The 22,702-nt window shown below is 54.6% G+C and overlaps 2 protein-coding genes and 1 long non-coding RNA gene across 17 annotated transcripts in view, besides 4 other annotated features; 1 reads left to right on the forward strand and 2 right to left on the reverse strand.

Annotated features, from left to right (window-relative positions):
- Positions 57-682: an enhancer, noted in NCBI's record as "H3K27ac hESC enhancer chr6:31830779-31831404 (GRCh37/hg19 assembly coordinates)". NCBI's record gives its function as "activates a minimal SCP1, AML or CMV promoter by ChIP-STARR-seq in naive H9 embryonic stem cells {active_cell/tissue: H9 hESC(naive)}" and the evidence as "EXISTENCE:reporter gene assay evidence [ECO:0000049][PMID:30033119]".
- On the reverse strand, positions 247-16,052 carry SLC44A4 (solute carrier family 44 member 4). Of its 3 annotated transcripts, none has more exons than NM_025257.3 (21): positions 15,996-16,052; positions 14,089-14,137; positions 13,111-13,184; positions 12,907-12,985; positions 11,984-12,083; positions 11,776-11,901; positions 11,515-11,575; positions 8,529-8,616; positions 8,369-8,452; positions 7,867-8,102; positions 7,658-7,757; positions 6,600-6,692; positions 6,210-6,312; positions 2,928-3,181; positions 2,745-2,839; positions 2,553-2,656; positions 2,370-2,443; positions 2,065-2,135; positions 1,871-1,965; positions 1,707-1,791; positions 247-803 (listed from the first exon to the last, which is right to left on the reverse strand). In NM_025257.3, the coding sequence occupies exons 1-21, from the start codon at positions 16,033-16,035 to the stop codon at positions 682-684; spliced, it is 2,133 nt and encodes a 710-aa protein (NP_079533.2). In that variant the 5' UTR covers positions 16,036-16,052; the 3' UTR covers positions 247-681. The 3 variants fall into 3 exon arrangements, with proteins under 3 accessions (NP_079533.2, NP_001171516.1, NP_001171515.1); NM_001178045.2 differs by lacking the exon at positions 15,996-16,052 and adding an exon at positions 14,618-14,726; NM_001178044.2 differs by lacking the exon at positions 11,776-11,901.
- Positions 683-1,306: an enhancer, noted in NCBI's record as "H3K27ac-H3K4me1 hESC enhancer chr6:31831405-31832028 (GRCh37/hg19 assembly coordinates)". NCBI's record gives its function as "activates a minimal SCP1, AML or CMV promoter by ChIP-STARR-seq in naive H9 embryonic stem cells {active_cell/tissue: H9 hESC(naive)}" and the evidence as "EXISTENCE:reporter gene assay evidence [ECO:0000049][PMID:30033119]".
- Positions 1,307-1,931: an enhancer, noted in NCBI's record as "H3K27ac-H3K4me1 hESC enhancer chr6:31832029-31832653 (GRCh37/hg19 assembly coordinates)". NCBI's record gives its function as "activates a minimal SCP1, AML or CMV promoter by ChIP-STARR-seq in primed H9 embryonic stem cells {active_cell/tissue: H9 hESC(primed)}" and the evidence as "EXISTENCE:reporter gene assay evidence [ECO:0000049][PMID:30033119]".
- Positions 7,333-8,266: an enhancer, noted in NCBI's record as "H3K27ac-H3K4me1 hESC enhancer chr6:31838055-31838988 (GRCh37/hg19 assembly coordinates)". NCBI's record gives its function as "activates a minimal SCP1, AML or CMV promoter by ChIP-STARR-seq in naive H9 embryonic stem cells {active_cell/tissue: H9 hESC(naive)}" and the evidence as "EXISTENCE:reporter gene assay evidence [ECO:0000049][PMID:30033119]".
- EHMT2-AS1 (EHMT2 and SLC44A4 antisense RNA 1) lies at positions 14,863-21,259 on the forward strand. The gene is made up of 5 exons (NR_174947.1): positions 14,863-15,133; positions 17,299-17,840; positions 18,116-18,176; positions 18,451-18,615; positions 19,728-21,259. It is a non-coding gene; the product is annotated as an EHMT2 and SLC44A4 antisense RNA 1 (long non-coding RNA).
- Positions 16,814-22,702, reverse strand: part of EHMT2 (euchromatic histone lysine methyltransferase 2) — a 17,940-nt gene continuing 12,051 nt past the window's right edge. For 5 of the 13 annotated variants that reach the window (NM_001395165.1, NM_025256.7, NM_006709.5 and 2 more), the window contains 10 exons: positions 21,967-22,071; positions 21,700-21,854; positions 21,447-21,614; positions 20,861-21,005; positions 20,417-20,494; positions 19,949-20,064; positions 19,754-19,840; positions 18,069-18,147; positions 17,728-17,903; positions 16,814-17,319 (listed from right to left, as the gene is read on the reverse strand). In NM_001395165.1, coding sequence (NP_001382094.1) covers positions 17,139-17,319; positions 17,728-17,903; positions 18,069-18,147; positions 19,754-19,840; positions 19,949-20,064; positions 20,417-20,494; positions 20,861-21,005; positions 21,447-21,614; positions 21,700-21,854; positions 21,967-22,071 — 1,290 coding nt within the window. In that variant the 3' untranslated portion in view covers positions 16,814-17,138. Of the gene's footprint in view, positions 17,320-17,727; positions 17,904-18,068; positions 18,148-19,753; positions 19,841-19,948; positions 20,065-20,416; positions 20,495-20,860; positions 21,006-21,446; positions 21,615-21,699; positions 21,855-21,945; positions 22,111-22,702 lie in introns of all 13 variants that reach the window. The other 8 variants (NM_001395163.1, NM_001395160.1, NM_001318833.2 and 5 more) reach the window with 4 other exon arrangements.

Genomic DNA, 22,702 nt, shown 5'->3' on the forward strand with positions numbered 1-22,702 from the left:
TGATCACGCAGCATCTCGAAGCTTGCCCTTCCGATTGGCCCTCTTGGAGGCCCTCTTGGAGGCCCGGAGCGCGTGACCCGAACGGGAAGCGGACTGGCTGGGGTGAAGAAGGGACTGGCACCATCCTTATTGGGCTTTTTGATTGGCCGCGGCACCAGGACACGTCACAGGGGCGGGGCCGATTTTAAAGAGCCGGGCGCGGAAAAAAAAAGGCCGCCTGTCGTCGTGGAGAGAATGAGTCACAGATTTACTGAGTTAACAAAATATCTTTAATAAAATCTTTTTGTTTGTTTGTTTTGTTTTGGAGACAGAGTCTGTCACCCAGGTTGGAGTGCAGTGGCGCGATCTCGGCTCACTGCAACCTCTGCCTCCCGGGTTCAAGCGATTCTCCTGCCTCAGCCTCCCGAGTAGCTGGGATGACAGGTGCATGCCACCACTCTCGGCTAATTTTTGTATTTTTAATAGAGACGGAGGTTTCACCATGTTGGCCAGGCTGGTCTCGAACTCCTGACTCAGGTGATCCGCCCGCCTCAGCCTCTCAAAGTGTTGGATTACAGGCGTGAGCCACGGCGCCTGGCCTAAAACCTTTTTTTACCACAAAATGGAGACCTGTAAGGCGAAGTGAGGTTGGATGGCTGGACGGTGGGGGTGGGGTGCAGTCCTGGATCAGGGCCGGAGCTGTCACTTCTTCCTCTTCTTGTTGTCCGGGGGCGCCTCGTTCTTCTTGCCCAGAATCTTTAGAAGGCTCTTGGACATGTAGTAGGGCCGGTCCAGGGAGCCGTTGTTCCGCTCCAGGTCTTCCACTGAGCCGCAACAGAGACCGGTTAGAGCGGACCCTGGGGCCAGGAAATCGGGGACTGGGAGGCAAGCTGCCTGCGGGATTTGGAATCCAAGCTGCACCACCACCCTTACCCCCGGGCAGGTTATGTAATCTCAGTTTCCTCCTGTGAAGTGGGGTCGGGAATATTATGTTGCATAGAGCGATGATAAGAATTAGCGGAAAAAATGCATGTCAGTCGCTTAGGAGGAGACTGGCAAACCCTGAATGGATGCATGCTGTAGAGTAAGAAAATCCCCTGCCGCTACAGCCACCTGCTGGGAAGTCTCTCTAATGGCTCTTTTTTTTTTTTAATCTTTTTTCTTTGTTTTGAGACGGAGTCTTGCTGTCGCCCAAGCTGAAGTGCAGTAGCGCAATCTCGGCTCGCTGCAACCTCCGCCTCCTGAGTTCAAGCGATTCTCCTGCTTCAGCCTCCCAAGTGGCTGGGATTACAGGCGCCCGCCACCGCGCCCAGCTAATTTTTTGTATTTTTAGTAGAGAGGGGTTTCACCATGTGGGCCAGGCTGGTCTCGAACTCCTGACCTCAGGGTGATCTGCCCACCTCGGTCCCCCAAAGTGCTGGCATGACAGGCGTGAGCCACCATGCCTGGCCTCTAATGGCTAACTTCTACCCGAGATTTCTTAGGGAAGATAGCAGAGACCTCTCCATCAGAATGCTCCTTCTTTGGAGAGCCTACCGGCCTGGGGGCTCACTCTCTTCCTTCTTCCCTAAACGCCTGGCCTCAGGATGTCACAAGAAGCTCCCTCTGGTTCGTTTAGCTCACAAAGGCATTGTTTCTAGAAGCACCAAATCTCCAAAAAAAAAAAAAAATGCTTGAACGGCTCAGTACTTTAAGGTTGGGGACAGGTGGCTGGGGGTGTCACTCACGGAAGCAGAGGAAGAGCGTGTCCACACACATGCCGAAAACGCTGAAGAAGCCGCTGGCGATGACATAGGCCCCCAGGATGGAGGTCTGGAAGACATGACCCGTTGGGGTTATTGGGTTCCTCTGGGGAGTTGGGGGTGGAGCAGCAGAGAGGGGAGTCACTCACCATGATGGGCAGCCAGTAATAGTTGAGGTGGGGGCTCTTAAAGTCTTTACCCAGCCCCGGGATGCGACCGGAGAAAAAAAAGAAGGACAGGACCCCTGTGGAATAATTCTGGGGGTTAGTGCTGCACCTCTGAGGCCACCTCTTCAGCTGCCCAGCACCCCTACCCTCTGTCCCCACAGCTTCTGGTCCCTTACCCACGCCTCCGACCACCAGCAGCTTCCCAAAGAACAGCAGCAGGTCTGTGACTTTGTCCAGGACGACCACCCTGTGCCAGAAGTTAGGGCAGGTTGAGGGTGAGAGGCCTGGCAATGCTGAGAGTGAAATTGGCTTCGTAATTTGTGGGGACTGGTGCAAAATGAAAATTGTTCACGTTTCAAGATGGCAAGAGCAGAGCACTAAACTAAGTCTAGGGCCCGACTGAGCACAGCACACCCACGAAGCCAGCCTTGGGTGGGAGATCAGAGGAGGGAGCCACAAAGCGGGGGGGGAGCAGCCTAACCTGACAATGTTTCGCATGAGTAGCATGAACGCATTTTTGGCTGAGACACAGAAATTCTTCCCGTAGATGGCGATCTGAGGGAGGTGGAAAGGTCAGAGTTACCAAGGCGAGCTGCCTGGACCAGGATGGGGGTGTCTAGACCAAAGGGCACCAGAACAAAGGGTTGCTTGCAGTGTAGCTCACCATGATGTATGCATTGCGGTTTAGGAACTTGATAAATTTTTCCAGACACCAGAGGCAGCACTTGAAACAGCACATGATGCAGCGGGCTACAGGGTTCTGCACTCCTGGGAGCGAGGAAGGCTCATGTTTGGTCACTGCCCCTCCCTAATGGCCTTCCCCAGCTCCTGACTCCTACTCCGACTCCAGACTCACCTCTGAGCTTGTGGTCAATATACTCCAAGATGACCCGGGCTATCTGCACAAGGGTCAGGATGAGGGCTCCAAATGCCAATGACCCAGTGTGGTAACTGCAGAGGGTGTTATGCAGTCAGAGACAGCTCCAGGACCCCTGGGGCCCCCGTGCCTACAATGACCAGGCCCCTGCCCCATCCTTACCGGAGTGTGCGGATGAAGGCAGAGATTAAGGGGAAGGTAGGGATGTCCTGGGGCTTGTGGAAGGCCCAGTAGAAGGAGGCAAAGGCTCCAGCGAGGACGCATTGGCCCAGGGCCAGTACCCAGTTAAGGGTCCAGAAGAGCCCCAGGACCCCATAGATTTGCAGATTGAAGACAGAACGTTGGATTAGGCCTTTGGATGAGTAGCCCTGGAAGACGCACATCAGCCCTGGGCACGAGGAGTTCACAAGGTGGGCCTGGGAGGGTAGACGGGGATAGAGTAGGCTCAGGCATCGGGGGCCTCAGTATGGAGCCTGGGCGTCCCATTCCCAGTAGCTCCTGCCCCTCCCAGAGTTGACAGGTGGGAAGTAGCTTCTCTGGACTGCGGGAATCAAGTTCTGTCGGAGAGTTCCATCTCCAGGCTCAAACTCAGTTTGGTCTGCCTATAGCATAAGCATAATCAGCTCCCTCAGTCTCAATCAGAGGGGAAGGCACTCACTCAGCATTCCCATTCCAGAGCAGCCTCTGCAACGTCTACCAAAACCCTTTCCGGCAAATTGAACAGGCTGGGTATTTGATGATATTAAGGAATTATTGTTAATTTTGTGAGATGTGATAATGATATAGTGGCTATGCTTTTAAACAGTTCTTATCTGTTGAGATCCATCTCGATGCATGTACAGGTGAAATGGCATGATGTCCAGAATTTGCCTTAAAAGTCTCCAGAAAAAAAAATTTATGAGGCGGGTGCGGTGGCTTATGCCTGTAATCTCAGCACTTTGGGAGGCCGAGGTGGGCGGATCGCCTGAGGTCAGGAGTTCAAGACTAGCTTGGCCAACATGGTGAAATCCCATCTCTACTGAAAATACAAAAAATTAGCCGGGCGTGGTGGCAGACGCCTATTATCCCAGCTATTCAGGAGGCTGAGGCAGGATAATTGCTTGAACCCAGGAGGCAGAGGTTGCAGTGGGCCGAGATCGCGCCACTGCACTCCAGCCTGGGAGACAAGAGCAAAACTCCATCTCAAAAAAAAAAAAAATTATAGGTGAGGATATAGATGAAATAAGAATAGCAAAAAGTTGAGGGTTGTGGAATCTGGGTACAGGGAACTCACTGTGCTATCATCTCTACTTTTGCATATGTTTAAAAATTCCCATAATAAAAAGTAAAAAGTCACAAATTAAAAAGCAACCCTTTCTAGCAAATATAACCAAAAAAATTTTTTTTTGACACAGGGTCTCGCTCTGTTGCCCAGGCTGGAGTACAGTGGCTCAATCTCAGCTCACTGCAACCTCTGCCTCCCGTGTTCAAGCAATCCTCCTGCTTCAACCTCCCAAGTAGCTGGGACTGCAGGTGTGTGCCACCATGCCTGGCTAATCAAAAAATCTTTTTTTTTTTTTTGAGATGGAGTCTCACTCTGTCACCATATTGGCCAGGTTGGTCTCGAACTCTGGACCTCATGATTCACCTGCCTCGGCCTCCCAAAGTGCTGGGATTACAGGTGTGAGCCACTGCGCGCGGCCTTCTGTCAGTCTTTACTGCTAGATCACAAGCAAGTTGAAAACAACACTCACGTCATACCCAGCACAGTTGCTCATGTGTATAATCCCAACACTTTTGGAGGCTGAAGCAGGCAAATTGCTTGAGCCCATTTGTTTGAGACCAGCCTGGGCAACATAGTGAAACGCCATCTCTTAAAAAAAAAAATTAGCCGGGCATGGTGGCACTTGTTTGTAGTCCCAGCTACTTGGGAGACTGAGGTGAGAAGATCACTTGAGCCTGGGAGATCAAGGCTTCAGTGAGCCATGATCGCATCACTGCACTCCAGCCTGTGTAACAGCCTTTTTTTCATTAAAAAAGAAAAAAAAAAGAAAAAGAAAAAGAACCACATCATTTTGGGCTTTGTATACCCAGTGCCTGGCACATAGTGGGTCCTCTGTACATGTAAATAAACCTTTTTTTTTTTTTTTTGAGACGGAGTCTCGCCGCCCAGGCTGCAGTGCAATGGCGCGATCTCAGCTCACTGCAACCTCCGCCTCCCGAGTTCAAGCAATTCTCCTGCCTCAGCCTCCTGAGTAGCTGGGATTACAGGCACCTGCTACCATGCCTGGCTAATTTTTGTACTTTTAGTGGAGACAGGTTTTTGTCATGTTGGCCAGGCTGGTCTCAAACTCCTGACCTCAGGTGATCTGCCCACCTCGGCCTCCTAAGTGCTGGGATTACAGGCATGAGCCACCGCGCCTGCCAAACCTCCCCTTTTTAATAGGGGTGGGGCTAATGCCTGCAGCACAGCTCATGTTCCCAGCTCAGACGAGGTGAAGATATGACAGGTTTGAGAAGAGTAAATTCCCAGCAGCCCAGCGCCACTCCCGGGGAACCTCACAGGGGAATTTTGGAAGCAGCTTCTCTCTCGGGTCCCCCGCAGGGAGTCCCACCTGGCTACTACCTAGGGCTCTGTGTTCCAAGGGAGTAAGACTTAACAATATAATACAATTCAACCTGTTGTTGAGCTCTTATCAGGTGCCAGGCATTGTACTAAGCACTTTATGTGCCCAAAGTCATTTCATCTTCTCAGCCACCCCAGGGATGGGTATTATAATTATCCTCATTTTACAGAGGAATGGAGCTGCATGTGGTGGCTCACTCCTATAATCCCAGTACTTTGGGAGGTTAAGCCAGAGGATTGCTTGGGTACCTGACTACATCGGGGCAACCCCAGGAGTTCAAGACCAGCCCGGGTAACACAGCAAGACCTTGCCTCTACAAAAAGCTTAAAATTAGCCTGGCGTGGTGTCATACGCTAGTAGTTCCAGCTGCTCAGGAGGCTGAGGTGGGAAGATTGCTTGAGCCTGGGGGATGGAGGTTGCAGTGAGCTGAGATTGCACTGCTGCACTCCAGCCTGGGCAACAGAGCAAGACCCTGTCTCAAAACAAACAAACAAACAAACAAACAAACAAACAAACAGGAGTAGGCTGAGACTCAGAGGGTGAAGTGGTTGATGGTCCTCAAGTCAGAGCAATGTCCTGGGGAGGGGTGGAGTAAGTCCTGGTATCCAGGGCTGTCTCTCCCAGCCTCAGTTTCCCTCCCCACATGATGGATGGCTCAACAGGAGTACCAGGTATTCTGGGAACTGGTTTCTTCTAGCTCTGCTGGGGGTTGAGTGTGTGACCTTGCACAAGTTTCTTGCCCTCTGTGGCCTCAGTCTTCTCTGCACAATGAGGAATGTGGCCCCTACAGCCCCTCACCCCTACTAGTCCCGCCTCCATGTCCCCTGCTTCCTCTTACCGTGGGGTTGCATGATGTATTTATTGGCACTTTCTCACAGCCGGGGGAGCTGATGTTGGATGCCCAGAGCACATACTGGGGTTGCCCCGATGTAGCCAGGTACCCAGAGGGGAGTCAAGGAAAGCATGATCACACGAGGTCTCCACAGGTCACTCGCTCCTTAGGGACCTGTTCCTAGGTGCTTGTGCAGATCGTTTGCTGCACAGAGAGGGCTGAAATTCAGCCTGTGTGCACCCTTTCAACTCTGTTCAGGCACAGTGCTGGTGTGTCTGCCCAGAGAAAGGGGCACCTCTTCCAGTGACACCAAGGCACTCTACAGGGCAAGTATTGCTTTGTTTTCCATCACCCCCCAGGACTCCAAGAGTGGCTGGCTGCGTGGGCAGAGGATACAGAGCAGTCATGGCCCAGTAGGCAATGCAGATGAGGAGGAGGACAAAGGTGACCAGTGGGTAGAACATGGTAGACATCATCTGTCCCACAGCCCTGCAGGGAGACAAAGCTGTTAACCGGCACCGCCCCAGCTGTCCATCTTCTCAAGGGGCTGACCCCGGCCGGGCGCAGTGGCTCACGCCTGTAATCCCAGCACTTTGGGAGGCTGAGGCGGGCGGATCACGAGGTCAGGAGATCGAGACCATGCTGGCTAACACGGTGAAACCCCATCTCTACTAAAAATACAAAAAATTAGCCGGGCATGGTGGCGGGCGCCTGTAGTGCCAGCTACTCCGGAGGCTGAGGCAGGAGAATGGCGTGAACCCGGGAGGCGGAGTTTGCAGTGAGCTGACATCGCACCACTGCACTCCAGCCTGGTCGACAGAGCGAGACTCCGTCTCAAAAAAAAAAAAAGGGGGGGGCTGACCCCTCTGCCCTCACTGGGGCCTGCCCCACTCCCCCAGGGTGGGACCAACAGGGTTAGTGACATTGTCTTTCATATCTGTGTCCTCAGGGCCTGGTGCAGGGCTAGGCATACTGTAGGTGCTCACTGGATAAACAGAACTGAATAAATCAGGCTCACAGGACCCTTAGAGGAAACTGGGGTCACAGAGAAGCCACCTGGGGCAGCTTCGGGTGGAGTAAGGGAAGATCACCCCCAAGCGTGATCCCTTGGCAGGTGTGTGTGGCAGTTCCTGATCGGGAGCAAGCTGCTGCCCCTCCTGGCCCGGATTCCTGCCGTTCCACTCAGCCACCACCACTCCCACCAACCCCTCTAGAAGGCCTATGTCATATTCCAGGCACTCATTGAATCCTCAAGACAACCCTAGAAGGCAGGAATTATTGTTACCCCCATTTTACAGATGGGGAAGCAAAGCCACAGCAGTGTTCACCACTGTGCTATATTCCTCCCTTCTCCTCTGAGGCTCCCTGCCACCTCTCTAGCACCCCCTAGGTCCCCTAGCACTCCTGGGTCCACGCTGTCCTCAACCCCATCTCCCTCCCAGGCAGGCCCTAACTTGCTGGCCTCCTTCAGGAGGGCGATGGCAATACGAATCCGCTGCCGCAGGAAGATGAGCATCAGCAGCAGGATGGCTTCAAGCACCGCCAACACGATCACTGCAGAGGACGGGGCAGACAGACCTAGGTCAGGGCCAGGGCTGGGGCCGGGCATGGCCCAGGGCGGTCCTTGGGCAGCTGGTGGCTTGGGGGTGGGCAGGACACTCACGGGCGGCCAGCCAGGTCTCCTGCACGCTCTGGTAGGCACTGAGGTTGGTGGTGAAACCCAGCTGGGAGATGGAGGCGCCCTTGTCCCGCAGCACTCGGTACTCCTCCCAGCAGTAGTAGATGCCGTATGCCAGCACGCCCAGCACTCCCAGGATCAGCACCAGCACCAGGGGCCCAGCCACCAGGCGCAGAAGCAAGATAAACAGTAGGCTCAAGACCAGAGCCACCCCCAGGGCACTGTAGGCAGGGTGAGGACAGTGAGGTTCAGCCCTAGCCCCTCAAATCTTTCCCCTTACAGAGGCCCTCCCTGCCTTTCCACACACCACCCAATGTCCCCAGATTAGGCCTCTTTCCCTTATAAATCCTGTTGGTCTTGGAATCCATTCGGAGCTCTGGCTCCTCCTCCTCTGTCCAAAGCCTGTGTTTCAGACATTGGGCGAGGGGGTAGAGGATCAGGGAGGAAGAAGGCAAGGACACAAGAGGAGGGGAATCTGGTGACTCACACAAGAATCCAATACCAGGACTGGGCAAAATCTTCAAAGATCTTAACACTGATGTCTCGGGCATTGAGGCTGTCAATAAGACCGCTGTTGGGGAGACAGAGTCAGATGGGGCTGTGGGTGGAAGGGGTGTGGCCAGGATGTGGGGGAGGGAGGTGCCTACCTGATCCCCTGCTGTATGGTGGTGTCATTGGTGATCCCTGGGAGCGCCGGTGGAGTAACGTTGGTCCATGGAAAGCAGCGCCCCAGAGCTGGAAGGGAGAGCCGGGCTGCTGGGTTGGGGGCCAGGAGCTCTGCCTGGAGGGTCTCTGGCCCCCTCCCAGTCCACAGTGCCCTTAGGGGAGGGAAGGGTGATGGGCCTTGCATCCCTCAGTGGGCTGCTTTTGATTTCACAAATGGGCTTCTGCCCTGTGGAGCCCAGTCTATCCCCTGCCTCCCCTCCCTGTCGTGCCTTGGTTTGGACCCTCCTCTCCGCTGGCCTCAACTCTTAGAACACCCTGTCACCCTTCCATCCACCCTCCACCCGAGTGGAGTGCCAGGGAGACCGTGGCACTGCCTGGACTTCATCACTCCAGGGTTCTGGGTCCCTTTGTGACTCAGACATCTCCAGAGGCTCTGCCCCAGAGACAGCATCCACACTCCCTGGCCAGGCTTCCAGGCTCTCCTGTGCAAATCCAGCCCATGTTCCCTTCTACTCTGTACCTTTGCTCTTACTGTGCCTCTCTCTCAGGGCTCTCTTTCCACCAGAAATCCCATCCATGACTCCCTGTTCAAATCCAGCTCCATCTCACCTCCTCCAGGAAGCCTTCTGACCTTATCCCCACCTCCTTTGGCAACTGTTATGTGCCTACAGAGCCACTTACTGCCATCCTTGCAACAACTTTGCCAGGCAGCCTTGCTTTGTCATTTATTTATCTATTTATTTATTTATTTTCTTATTTTTGAGTCAAGGTCTTGCTCTGTCACCCAGGCTAGAGTGCAGCTGCATGATCATAGCTTACTGCAACATTGAACTTCTGGGCTCAAGCGATCCTCCCCACTTAGCCTCCCAAGCAACTGGGACTATAGATGTGCACCACCACACTTGGCTAATTTTTAAATTTTTTGTACAGATGGGGTTTTGCTGTGTTGCCCAGGCTGGCCTCAAACTCCTGGGCTCAAGCAATCCTCCCACCTCAGCCCCCCAAAGTGTTGGGATTACAGGTGTGAGTCACCTCACCTAGCTTATTTATTTTTTAGAGGCAGGGTTTCTCACTCTATTGCCCAGGCTGGAGTGCAGTGGCACAATCATAGCTCACTGTAACCTCCAACTCCAGGACTCAAGTGATCCTCCCGCCTTAGCCTCCTGAGCAGTTGGGACTACAGGCATGAGCCACTGCACCTCACTGTCATTTACATTCTAAAGATGAGGAAACAAGGTTCAGAGAGGTTGCATAGTTGGGTCAAGACCATAGGGCTGGAAAGTGCTAGAATTTATATTCAGATCTACTTGACTTTGAAGTATTCACTTGAGATACTCCTTACTGTACTTAAATTGATAACTGGATATCTCATCTTATGCTATAAATTGTCTAATTTTTTTTTTTTGAGATGGAGTCTCACTGTTGCCCAGGCTGGAGTGCAGTGGCACCATCTCGGCTCACCGTAAACTCCGCCTCTGGGCTCAAGCAATTCTCCTACTTCAGCCTCCCGAGTAGCTGGGATTTCAGGTGCCCACCACCACACCTGGCTAATTTTTGTATTTTTAGTAGAGACGGGGTTTCACCATGTTGGCCAGACTAGTCTCGAACTCCTGACCTTGTGATCCGCCCGCCTCGGCCTCCCAAAGTGCTGGGATTACAGGTGTGAGCCACTGCTCCCGGCCTAAAATTTTTGTTTGAGACGGAGTCTCGCTCTGTCAGCAAGGCTAGAGTACAGTGGCACGATCTTGGCTCACTGCAAAGCTCACTGCAACCTCTGCCACCCGGGTTCAAGCAATTCTCCTGCCTCAGCCTCCTGAGTAGCTGGGATAAGAGGTGCATGCCACCACGCCCAGCTAAGTTTTGTATTTTTAGTAGAGATAGGGTTTCGCCATGTTGGCCAGGCTGGTCTCGAACTCCTGATCTCAGGTGATCTGCCTGCCTCAGCCTCCCAAAGTGCTAGGATTACAAGCATGAGCCACCATGCCTGGCCTAAAAATTGTTTTATATTAAAAATGACATTTGCAACTGGGTGTCGGGGCTCATGTCTGTAATCCCAGCACTTTGAGAGGCTGAGGTGGGAAGATTGCTTGAATCGAGGAGTTCAAGACCAGCCTGGGCAACATAGCAAGACTTCATCTCTTAAAAAAAAAAAAAGACATTTGCTACTGGAAGGAAGAGCACACTGTAAAAGAAAAAAAGTTCAACTGTGATCCTACCACCCAGCCACGTTCACTTATAACATTTGAACAAATATCCTTCTAGCCTTTTCCCTGTGCATATATAAAAATGATATGTGTGCAGGCTGGGCGTGGTGGCTCATGTCTGTAATCCCAGCACTTTGGGAGGCCAAGGTGGGTGGATCACGAAGTTAGGAGTTCAAGACCAGCTTGGCCAAGATAGTGAAACCCCGTCTCTACTAAAAATACAAATTTAATAAATAAATTTAATAAATAAAATAAAAATAAAAATTAGCCGGGCGTGGTGGCGGGCACCATGTGCTGTAATTCCAGCTACTCGGGAGGCTGAAGCAGAGAAGCGCTTGAACCCGGGAGGCGGGGGTTGCAGTGAGCCGAGATCACGCCACTGCACTCCAGCCTGGGCAACAGAGGAAGACTCCGTCAAAAAAAAAAAAATGTGTGTGTAGATTCACCCATGTATGTTTTCATGAGATTTTCATACAGTCTCTTTGTGAACAACTCTAATCTCTTCACCTAGAATGTAGCTGAAGCAGGGAGCAGTTGTTATCCCTGCCTCTGTCCCCAGCACCTGGCACATAGTAGGTCCCCAAAACACTGATGGTCTGACTGCAAGGCCACATAACAAAGAGCAAAATGAAGACCTGATGCTAATTCCAATTTTGCCACCAACAAGCTATGTGACTTCACTCTCTCTGGGCCTGATTTCTTCATTCAAGCAATGAAAACACTGGACTAGATGACGTCTGAGGAAGGAATCTGTGCTTCTCACCTGGAGCAGAGGGGAGGAGGAAACTGGGGCAGAGTTCCTGTTGCAGGCTTGTGATCACCGTCTGTGGCAGGAGTGAAAGGACAGACACACAGACACAGAGCAGGATGAAGAAGCAGGTCCCCTCACCACCACCATGGGGCTCAGCCTGTCCCACACTCCCCAGGAGAGCCAACCTGGTGATGATCTACCCAACTCCCCCTCCCTCTCGTGCCCACCCTGGCCCTTCTGGGCGACAGTGATGAGGTTAGGGGCAATATTCACCATATTCCAGGGTACCCCTGGCAGACAAAAGTTCCTGTTTTTTGTATAGAAGACTTCCCCAACAGTCTGTGAGAACTCGTTTTTTCCCACAGTCCATGGGTCCTCCGGGCAGGAGGACACACACACCTGGGTGCAGAGAGAACACTAAGGGGCTGGAACCTGAGACCCTGGGTGAGATCTGGGGTAGAGGCAGGTCCCAGGCTCTGACCTGGGGTGTGGGGCACTGTAGGCCGTTCTCAGCAACTGAGATGATGTTGCTGGACAGGATGCAGCTGAAGATGTTGAAGTACAGGAGATACGGCTTATCTCTGTGGGAGGGGAGGGACCATGTGCATCAGGGCCTGGTCAGGTGTTGGGGGAGGGGAGGGACCACTAGGGTGGCTTCTCAAGAATACAGTGGGCCCAGCCCAGCGTGGCCCATACCAGTCACCTCCCAGCTCCTGGCCCTAGCTCAGCTGGGGAGGTAGGGAGATGCCTAGAAGATCTCTCAGAGTAAGTCACCATTGCAGCAGCTGACAAATAGCTCAGAGCATGAACTTGGAGCTCCACAACTTCATATCATCTTTATGATCTTGAGCAAGTCACCTGTTCTCGGTCTTAGTTCTACTCCATATAAAACAGTAGTGCCTACCTCATGAGATTTCAATGCGCTTGTGTGTGTAAAGTTTACTGCCTGCCTGGAACATAGTAAATGCTATATAAATATTTGAGGTTTTATTATTTATTGGACATCTGTATGTGAGGACTGTTGGCATTGCTTCTGGAATTCCCCTTGAATTTCAAATAAGGAAATCAAAGCTCAGAGAGCTTGAGTAACTTGTCCAAGGCCACACAACCAAAACTTGGTCCAGTTGGGGATCCAAACACCAATCTCTGAACTGTAAAACTCATACACTTAACACGACTCTCCACTGCCTCCCATTTCTGGGGGGACTCAAGAAGCTAACTGTCCAGCAATGGTTCTTAACGTGGCCTGGAGTTGTCAGATTCAGGGAGGCTGAGGTGGGGTGGGGACAGCAGGGAAAGGCTGTGGAAGAGCACGGACAGGTCTGGAGCCTGAGTTGGGGGGGTGTCTCCTGCCCACCCTACCTCGCCTCGCTCCTGCACTCCTCTTCTCGCCTTTGTACTCACTTGTTCTCCCCCATGCCACAGTAGGCCCCAGTAGAGTTCCTGGGGTAGAGGACTTGCCGGGGGTCTCCATACAACCAGGCTGCAGACAGAGGCACAGATGAGTCATTGGAGGGCAGGGACTTAGTGGGGCAGTTATGGGAATGGTCCCTCCCTGGGTTCCTGTCCCTCACCCACTGCCCTGGCTCTGAGCAGCTGGAAACTCACCCACAATCCCCACCACGATGTAACCTAGAATGAAGAGCAGGAAGAGGACGCAGCAGATGACATCTGTGCAGCTTCTGAGAGAGAAACGAAACGGGAGGCTGAGCTAAGGAGACTTGGGGAGGTAGGGCTTATGGTCTGGAGGGGTTAAGGGTTAGAGAGTTGGGTGATGCTGCAGCATGGGCATCAGTAGGCTTTATTTTTATTTTTTTATTGCTTTTACTTTTTTATTTTGAGACAGGGTCTCACTCTGTCACACAGACTGGAGTGCAGTGGTGCAATCTTGGCTCACTGCAGCCTCTGCCTCCTGGGTTCAAGCAATTCTCCTGCCTTAGCCTCCCGAGTAGCTGGGATTACAGGCGCGTGCCACTACTGCCCGGCTAATTTTTTTTAAATATTTTATTTAGAAAACCTAGCCAGGCACAGTGGCTCACGACTGTAATACTAGCTACTTGGGAGGCTGAGGCAGGGCAATCCCTTGAGGCCAGGAGTTTGAGACCAGCCTGGGCAACATAGTGAGATCCCATCTCAAAGAAATTAGCCTGGTGTGATGGTGCATGCCTGTAGTCCCAGCTACTCGGAAGGCTAGGGCAGGAGGATCACTTGAGCACAGGAGTTCGAGCCTGCAGTGAACCCCCATCTCCAAAACACAAAAAGAAAGAAAACCTTTTTCTGGGTGGGTAAACTTTCTTCTGAAGTAAAAGACAGAAAAGCACACAACTCGCAAGGGCTCAGCTGGGTGAGTTCTCTCGCTTGTGAAGCCGGCACTTAAGTCAAGAAACAGAACATCCCCCCAGAACTGGGAAGCCCTCGATGCCTGCTCCAGACACAACAATCCCCCCAGGGCACCACCCATCTGGGGCAGGAGTTTCTCTTTTTCACAAGTTTCCTACTAATATTTTAGCAAATACAAAGCAAATACTGGATTCCACACTGCACCCACCACCCCCGCCAGCCCCCGGAGCAGTGCCCAGAGCTCACCTGTTCTTGATGGGGCCTCGAAAGGAGGGGTCGTATTTGACTGGCTTCCCTGAGGGACATGAGAAGAGGTGTGGAGGATGAGTCTCTCTCTGCATATCTTGTCCTGCTGAGTCCTCCTAGCCCCAGGATCCTACCCAGGCCTCAGGTGTTTGGAGGGAGATGGGCTAGGGCAGGACTGGCAGGAGGGGAAAACTGGGGAGCAGGAAAGGTAGGATCCAGGCCTGGTCAGCAGCTCAGCAGCTCCCTGGGAGCTCCACCCAGGCTGCCATGGGGAGGGGAAGGAAGGCCTTTATAGTTTCCGGCTCACATCTCAAGGCAGTCAGTCTGGGAAATGGCCTTGGTCCCCTGCCCTACCCTGGCACGGTTCTCCTGAGTCTCCCTTTAGCTGGGATGTGGGACTCCCAGTGGCTCTCACTCCCTCATTCTCATCCCTGCCTCCTCCCTAATCCCTCCCCAGGGACCACACAGACCCACAGCCCCTCAGGGAGGTCATGGCCTCTTCCCCTATCTGCCCCAGGCCCTACCTTACCCTCTGGTTCAAGGCTATGGGGAAAGAAACTGGAGACAAAGGTGTCAACCCCAGCAGGGCCTGGGGAGGGAAGCGGCCCTGTACATCCTCACTCTGGTGGGACCTCAGTCCCCTGGCCACAGTGTGCTCCGGGCTCTGGGCCAGCAGTCAGAGTGACACCTGAGCCCAGCCATAGAGATTGCAGGCACGTTGAGTTCCTGGTCCTCCCTGAGTACACACACAGGGAGGAGGAGGGCTGGGCAGTCAGGGTTCCTTGTGGGCACTGAGGAGGGAGAGCCGAGGGCTGGGCAGGAGTCTGGGAAGGAGCGGGTGGGGTCCACTTTCCCCAGGTGCGCTGGACTCTGTCCCTCCATGGCTCATGGACAATGATTGACCTGAAGCCGCTCCAGGAAGTCTACTCGGGAGTCCTCACTGCCTGCTCCCCTATGGCCCTAAGGGACTCAAGCCTCTCCTCGAGAAGGTCCCTCATAGGGGTTCCTTCCCCTTCAGACCAGAAGACCAGGGGGGCCTCCGCAGGTGAGTCCCCAGCCTTCACTGCTCGTGGGGATCTGGAGGCCAGTCCCCAGCTCCCTCTCTCCTCAGAACCCCAGCCCCTTTTCCTTGCAGATTCTGGAAACAGGCTCCCTGCTGTTTCTCCCCTCAGGCTTCACCCTTCACAGGAACCCCAGGGGCCCTGTCCCTATTCCTCAGAGTACCCCAAGACCAGCTCCTGCTCCTAGCTCCTCACAGAGACCCCTAGGCAGGACCCCAGCCCCCTTTCCACAAAGACCCTCAGCCCCAACTCCTCACAGGGACCCCCAGCAGAACCCACTCCCTCTGCCACTTCTCCCAGAGACCCTGGCAGGCAGAGGCCAGCCCACTCAGGGTCCCCTCACTCCTCAAGGGAGCCGGCAGACCACAAGCAGCTTTCGCCCTCAGAGACCCAGACTCCAGGCTGAACCTCCTCCTCCTTACAGGGACCCTGGCCTCACTGGTTGCAGGCTCTGCAGCACAGGACACTCCCAGCATCCAGCCCTATTCTGCTCAGGGCCCCAACCTGCCACCTTCCATCTCGGCTTTGTTTCCTAGGGCCCTGCCCTTAGGGACCCAGAGTCCAGGCCTGAAATACCCCCCTCCTCCCAAGGACCTCAGCCCCAACTCTTCAGAGGCACCCAGCTTCACTCCCCATGGGCTCCCCAGCAACAGCCCCAGCCCCCGGGCCCCATCCTCCTCCCAGGACCCTGACTCCCTCCCTCCATGGCTCCCGGTTCCCGGGCCCTCCCCTCAGGGACACAGTACTCTCCTTAGTTCCTCTCCCTGGAGCCAGCCCCAGACACCATTCCCAAAGTACCCGTCCTCCCCTCCCTCCACAGGGTCCCGGGCCTCGCCCCAGTCTCACCGTAGGCCTCGTCATCCTCGTCCCGCTGCTTTCCCCCCATGGCTCAGTCTCCGGAGTGATTGGAGCCCTGGAGACCTGGCGTCTCACCTGCTGCCCGCCCCGCCCTCCCACACGTCACAGCCCCACCCCCGCCTGTGGTCCCCGACACACTCTAGTTCCTTCTTCTCAACTTTGTGCCCAGCGGGCTGGGGAGCTGGAGCCTGGGACGGGGGCTCAGGGCTATTTCCTGGGGGCACTACGGACCACAGTGAACGACCTGGCATGCTCTGATAAGAAAACGCTTTATAATCTCGCCAACTACCTTAACTGCCGTACACTCCCAACACGCTCCCGCCAAAGATTAAAGTGTGGAAATTGGACCTGTTTTTTCCTTTTTGAGATGGAGTTTCGCTCTTGTTGCCCAGGCTGGTGTGCAGTGACTCAATCTTGGCTCACTGCAACCTCCGCCTCCTGGCTTCAAGCGGTTCTCCTGCCTCAGTCTCTGGAGTAGCCAGGATTACAGGTGCCTGCCACCACGCCCAGCAAATTTTTTCTATTTTGAAAGATGGGGTTTCACCAAGTTGGCCAGGCTGGTCTTGAACTCCTGATCTCAGGTGATTCGCCTGCCTTGGCCTCCCAAAGTGCTGGGATTATAGGTGTCAGCCACCGTGCCTGTGAAACTGGATCTTCATAGTGGCCCCCCACCTCCCTGCCCCGCACTGGGCGGCCATCACACCAGCCACACCTGTCCAGCCTGCTTCCCATCCTATTCTGGCCCTTGGACCCACATTCCCTCTAGCCAAGTATGCTTTCTCCCCACCCCAACACAAAAATCGCAGTTTATTACCAAACCCAACATTTATTGAGAACAAAAGGAACCAGTTGGCATAGAGGCCCGACTTCAATTCATCAAACTTCAACTGAGGATGGGGAACACGGGGGGTGGCCAGCCCTGAAGTTGCCCTCCCAGGGAGGAACCAGCTCTGGGAGGGAGGGGCTGTCAGACCTCCAGGGCCTGGCTGGGATCTCTGGTCAGGAATGTGTGAAAGGGTGGTGGGGAGAGAAGATGGCAGCACCCCCAGGCATGGGCTGCGAGCAGCTGGTGGCAGAGGAGGCGGCTGAGCTGTGGCCATCCATGCTGGGGAGAGAGGGTGTGGTCCGTTCTCATGTGTTGACAGGGGGCAGGGAGCCGAGCTCGGGCAGCAGCTCAGGGTGTGGGTCCAGGCGGGCCAGACGGCTCTGCTCCAGGGCAATGGCTTCGGCTGAGTGCTTGCACTTCTCAGAGCCACATTGGCAGGTGAAATATTTGCTTTTGATGTCCCAGAAGCGGTCGCCATAGTCAAACCTGTCAGAGGAAAACAGGAGCTTGTGGGACCTGGACCCAGCCACCAAGAGCCCACCCCGAAGACCCTGTGGATCCTGCTCCCTGAGAGGGACCCGACACCCAACCTATCTTCTCCAGATGGGATCTGAGCCCCTTGTATGTTCTATGGACTTTCAGCATCAGCATTGCCTGGGGACTTTTTAGAAATGCAGAATCCTGGGCCCCATCCCAAGCCTACTGATTCAAAATCTCTCTGGGAGGCACAGGACTGTTTCCCCAAGTCCTCCAGGAAATACTTATGTACACTGAAATCTGAGAAGCTCTGCACTACTCCATGCCTGGACACCAGGTACATGCCAGCCTTCAGGTCCCAGGTTTGCTGCATCTCCCACCCCCTGGCAGAGCCCCTAGAGACCCCTAGAGTCTCACCCTAGCTCCTCCCCAGTCCGGATGTCTCGGGAACTGAAGAAGGCGATGCGTGGAAATCGCAGGTCTTGGTGCAGCATGAAGACCCGGACGGGAATGATGTTGGGGTCACACAGGTGGTTGATGAAGCGGCTGATGTTGCCATAGTAACGGGCATCTATGCAGTACACCTCTCCATCCTGGGGCAGGGGGATGGCACTCTTCACATCTCCCCCGACCCTGCTTGCCCTCCCCACCCACTGACTCCCCAGTCCCTCCTCCCCAGGTTTCCATTTGCTGACTTCCCAGAGGCTCCTGAAAGCCAGCCCTGGGGAGCAGCAGGGTAAGGAGGGTCTCCTGCTCACCTTGTTGTCTAAGTCGAAGAGGTAAGAATCATCCTCTCTCACATCAGCCTCAGCATCAGAGATCAGCTCCCCGACATACCTGTGGGACAGGAATCCATGGTTCTGAAGGTGAGTGTGGGCTATTAGGAGGTGGCTCCAGGCCCCATCTCTCTTCACAAGCCTGTGGAATCTGGAATGGGCAGGGCTGGCAGGTGTGGGGAAGGGAAGGCCTGGAGCAGCAGTGGTGGGCAAGTGAAAGGGCAGCATTCCAGCCTTGACAGAGGAAGCCTTCAGTCAGCACAGAGACAGACAACAAGCTCTGTGGTTAAGGGGATTAATGTGTAGGGGCAGTTGGCCTGGGTGGGGAAGTTCGGGTTTGGACACAGAGAGGTTTGTGTTCCAGGAGCCACCCGGCAGGAATGGGCGATATGGAACAGGAGAGGGGCCAGGACTGCAGGAAGAGCCAGAGGTACAGGAGTGGCAAGGAACTCAAGGCATGATTCGGGGCAAGAGCACCCACACATATCTGGACACCAGAGGGAGGAGAGGAGCCAGCTATCTAAGGAGGGTGAGCAGACATGGGAGATTCAGACACACGGAGAGGACGTGGGTGGGAAGTGACTGTCAAGAGACAGCTTCAGCAGAGTGGGAAGGGCAAAGGCCGATTTTGGCAGGGACAGGCAGTGAGTGGATGGTGGGGAAACTGAGGCCCAGCAGGAAGGGGCTGCTTGCCAGAGAAGTTGAGAGATGACATGATGGAAAGAAACTGGATGGTCTGTTGAACAGGCAAGTATGGTTAGAGGACTATCTTTTTTAAAGGCCAAAGAATGGTCAGGCACGGTGGCTCACGCCTGTAATCCCAGCACTTTGGGAGGCCGAGGTGGGCGGATCATCTGAGGTCAGGAGTTGGAGACCAGCCTGGCTAACATGGTGAAACTCCGTTTCTACTAAAAATACAAAAAATTAGCCGGGTGTGGTGGTGCGCACCTGTAATCCCAGCTACTTGGGAGGCTGAGGCAGGAGAATCGCTTGAACCTGGGAGGTGGAGACTGCAGTGAGCCAAGATTGTGCCATTGCACTCCAGCTTGGGCAACAAGAGTGAAACTCCGTCTCAAAAAATAAATTAAAAAAAAAAAAAAAAAAGAGCCAAAGGAGACTAAAGTAAGATTGAGGGTTGTGGGATGGCAGCCAAGAGAAAGGGGGAGATTACAGATGCTGGGCAGAGAAAGAACTGATGGAGAGGGACAGGCCCCTGAGGAGGTGGACAGATAGGTAGCTGTTATCACCTCCACTCTACAGACAAGAAAAATAAGGCTCAAAGAGGTTAAGTAACTTGGCCAAGAACATCCAGAAGCAGAGAGGGGCTCAAACCCAAGTCTGTTTGTCTCCCAAACTGGCACTTTCTCCAGCTAGGAAGGGCGAGGAGGGGGTGGAGGGGAAGGTAGAGGGTGGAGGTGGAGGGGAGGGAAGACAAGCTCTGTGGTCTGGGCAGAGTGGAGGCAGGTGCCATTCTCAGCTGGGGGGATGGGGGTCAGAGGCGGCTGGCTGCTCAGCTGCAGGAATAGGGGTCAGAGGAGGCTGGCTGGAGAGTGGCCAGATGGAGACATGTGACTCATCAGGGCAGATGGCTGAGAGGGAGGCCTGGCAGTCAGCAGTGGCCATGTATCCCCTTCCCACCAGGTGTTAAGGTGCTCCCGGTGACTTACTCGCAGATGAAGGTCCCCTGTGGGATGGTCTGCAGGGCGCGGACCCCCCAGCCCATCTTGGCTGTTCGGTAGAGCTGTAGCCGCACCCTGGGGGTAGGAGAGATGGCGCTGTTGGGTGGAGGCCCTGGAAAAGCCCCAGGGGCAGGGAGGAAAGGGTGAGGTGGGGAGAGGGTGGGCTGTGGAGCAGGGCCTCACTTGATGCCACTCTGTACGACCCGGTTCTTGCAGTTTCTCCAGCATGAGCACGCCTGGTTACACTCGAAAATCAGCGGAGGCTCAATCTTGTTAAATTCCTGGAGCAATCGCCCATCCTAGGGTGCGGAGGGGAGGATAGTGGTTTCTCTGTGGGGCCCACCTCAGCTGCCCACCCAGGAACCCCAAGACTCTACAGAGACAGGGAAGTTGGGGTTGGGGAGGTCACACAGGCTCTGAGATCCGAGAGCACGAAATGCAGGAGCATCATCCCTGGTTTGCATAGACCTGGGCACACGCCCATCGCTGTCCCAGCCACATCCCAGGATTCCCAGGCCTTGCCCAGTCCTCTCAGTCACTTCCCCCACAGGGTAGGAGGTGAGGGACATGGTCCCAGGGAGCTGGTTTATTGGAGGCTGGCTCCTCTGAAGGAGGGGCCGGGTGTCTGTGGCCAAGGCAAGGGGCACGCACCTTGTCATACCAGCACCGGATGCTGAGCTGGCCGCACAGGCAGTTGGAGCTAGAGCAGTCGTCCACACACGTGCAGTGCTGGGGCGAGGAGGCAGAGGTCAGCTCAACCCCATGATCGGTCTGGGCCCCTCTACTCTTGATGCCCCCTGACCCCCTAACCACTGTCCTTTCTTTGGGGTCCATGTGTTACAACAGTGGGTGGTGATGGTCCTAGGGTGACGGGTAATCAGTATGGTGGTGTCCCCAGGGCTACTGGGAGCTCATATGATACCTTGCTGTGACCTAGGAAAAGGATCCCTCCCCTGGTGGGGATGCGACCCCACACCAGGGCTCCCTTTCAGCCAACCCTTCCTTGGCCAGGTGCCTTTGCTGGTTTGAAGCTTGTCCAACTGTACTTGGCAGCTCTCGGTGTCCTTTTGGGGAGGCCCCGGGCCCCCTACTCACCTGCAGGTGGGTGATGTTGCGATCGATGTTCATGGTGGACGTCTCGCAGTTCTCTGAGATGTACTTGTAATCCTCAGGGCAGGGCTCCCCATCCACACCGTTGACACAGGGAATGGGCACGTTCTCATAGCCCCGAGCCACGTCCCTGCAGAAGACGGGAAGAAGGGGCTGGGAAGCTGGAAAAGGGGGTGAGGAGCTACTCCAGGTATAAGGAAGAGAGTTGGGGAGGTTCCTGGGGCTGGGGGCAGGGGAGTAAGGTTGCCAGGTAAGATGCAGGACAGCGAGTTAACATAGAATTTTAGATAAACAAGAAATAGCTTTTTAGTATGTCCCAAAAATTACACAGGACATTCTCACACTAAAAAAGTATGCATCTGTGCATCTGAAATTCCAGTTTAACTGGGTGTCTTCTATTTTTATTTGCTGTATCTGGCAACCCTAGTGGGGAGGGGGCCTGTGGGTGGTTCTGGGGATTCAGTGGTGCATGGGGAGGGGTTGGGGAATGTTGTGAGGATGCAATGGAGCCTGGGGAGGGTATGGGTGGGGAGGAGGTGGTCTTGGGTGCAGAGAGGGGCCCAGGGCTCACCGGCAGATGATCTTCTCTGTGCGGATGGCCCGATTTCCCACCCCAAGTCGGAGCTTGCGGTTGAGTTGAAGCGCAAACCACACGTCGGAGCGCTCGGGAGTCAGGTCCCATGCTGTGTCCCCCTCTTTGTTCCGCAGCTCAGGGTTGGCCCCACGTGACAGGAATAACCTGAAGAGGGGACAGGATGCCCAATGCAGGGTCTGAGGCTGCAAGAAGTGGGGGCAGGGGCATCAAGGGCGGGGCAGGGGCTCACAGCACGCAGTCATGGTAGCTCTCCCGAGCTGCGATGTGCAGGGGGGTGTCCCCATGGTAGTTGACAGCATGGAGGTCACAGCGCGCATTCAGAAGGACTTCGGCGATGGCGGCGCTGCCCGTGAAGGAGGCCCAGTGCAGGCAGATGTTCTCCTCCTGTGGAGGTAGGAGGGGAACAGATGAGGTGCAGGCAGCTGGGCCCTTGAATCCAGCCTCCACCTTGCTCAGGGGCCTGGGGCTGCCCTACCTCAACCAAACGCTCACTCACGTTGTCAGTGAGGGTGACGTCGGCGCCCCGCGTCAGTAGCATGCGGATCACCTCGATGTGCTTGTGCTCTGCAGCCCAGATGATGGGCGTCCACCCCCCACTGTCCTGTGGGTGGGAAGGGAGTGAGGGTGGGGGCAGCTGGCCCTGCTCACCAAAGCAGCAAATGGTCAAGATTGGCTGTGTGTGTGAATCCCAGCTCCACCATTCACAAGCTGTGGGACCCTGGGTAAGTCACTTAACGTCTCTGGGTCGCAGTTTCTTCATCTAAAAAATGGGACTAGTAGGGTCGGGCGCGGTGGCTCATGCCTGTAATCCCAGCACTTTGGGAGGCCGAGGCGGGCGGATCACGAGGTCAGGAGATGGAGGCCATTGTGGCCAACACGGTGAAACCCTGTCTCTACTAAAAAATAGAAAAAATTAGCTGGGCGTGGTGGCAGGCGCCTGTAGTCCCAGCTACTAGGGAGGCTGAGGCAGAATGGCGTGAACCCGGGAGGCGGAGCTTGCAGTGAGCCAAGATCGTGCCACTGCACTCCAGCCTGGGCGACAGAGCAAGACTCCGTCTCAAAAAACAAACAAACAAAAATGGGACTAGTAGCGTCTACCATCTGATGCCAGAGAGAAAATAAAGTAATTGTTCTCTTTCCAAAAAATACAGCCAGGAGCTGGTCATGGAGGTGCATGCCTGTAGTCCCAGCTACTCATGTGACTGAGATGGGAGGGTTGCTTGAGCCCAGGA

This window comes from Homo sapiens, chromosome 6 (assembly GCF_000001405.40).
Source record: "Homo sapiens chromosome 6, GRCh38.p14 Primary Assembly".
Taxonomy (NCBI): Eukaryota; Metazoa; Chordata; class Mammalia; order Primates; family Hominidae; genus Homo; species Homo sapiens.

Bases quoted from the DNA above. Each gene is read 5' to 3' on its own strand.
- SLC44A4 (NM_025257.3), bottom strand. From the start codon at position 16,035: ATGGGGGGAAAGCAGCGGGACGAGGATGACGAGGCCTACG. The intron at 8,103-8,368 runs GTGAGTCACCAG...CCCTGCCTACAG, and splicing joins TCCTGGTATTGGATTCTTGT to TGCCCTGGGGGTGGCTCTGG. The intron at 2,444-2,552 runs GTGAGCTACACT...CACCTCCCTCAG, and splicing joins ACCGCAATGCATACATCATG to ATCGCCATCTACGGGAAGAA.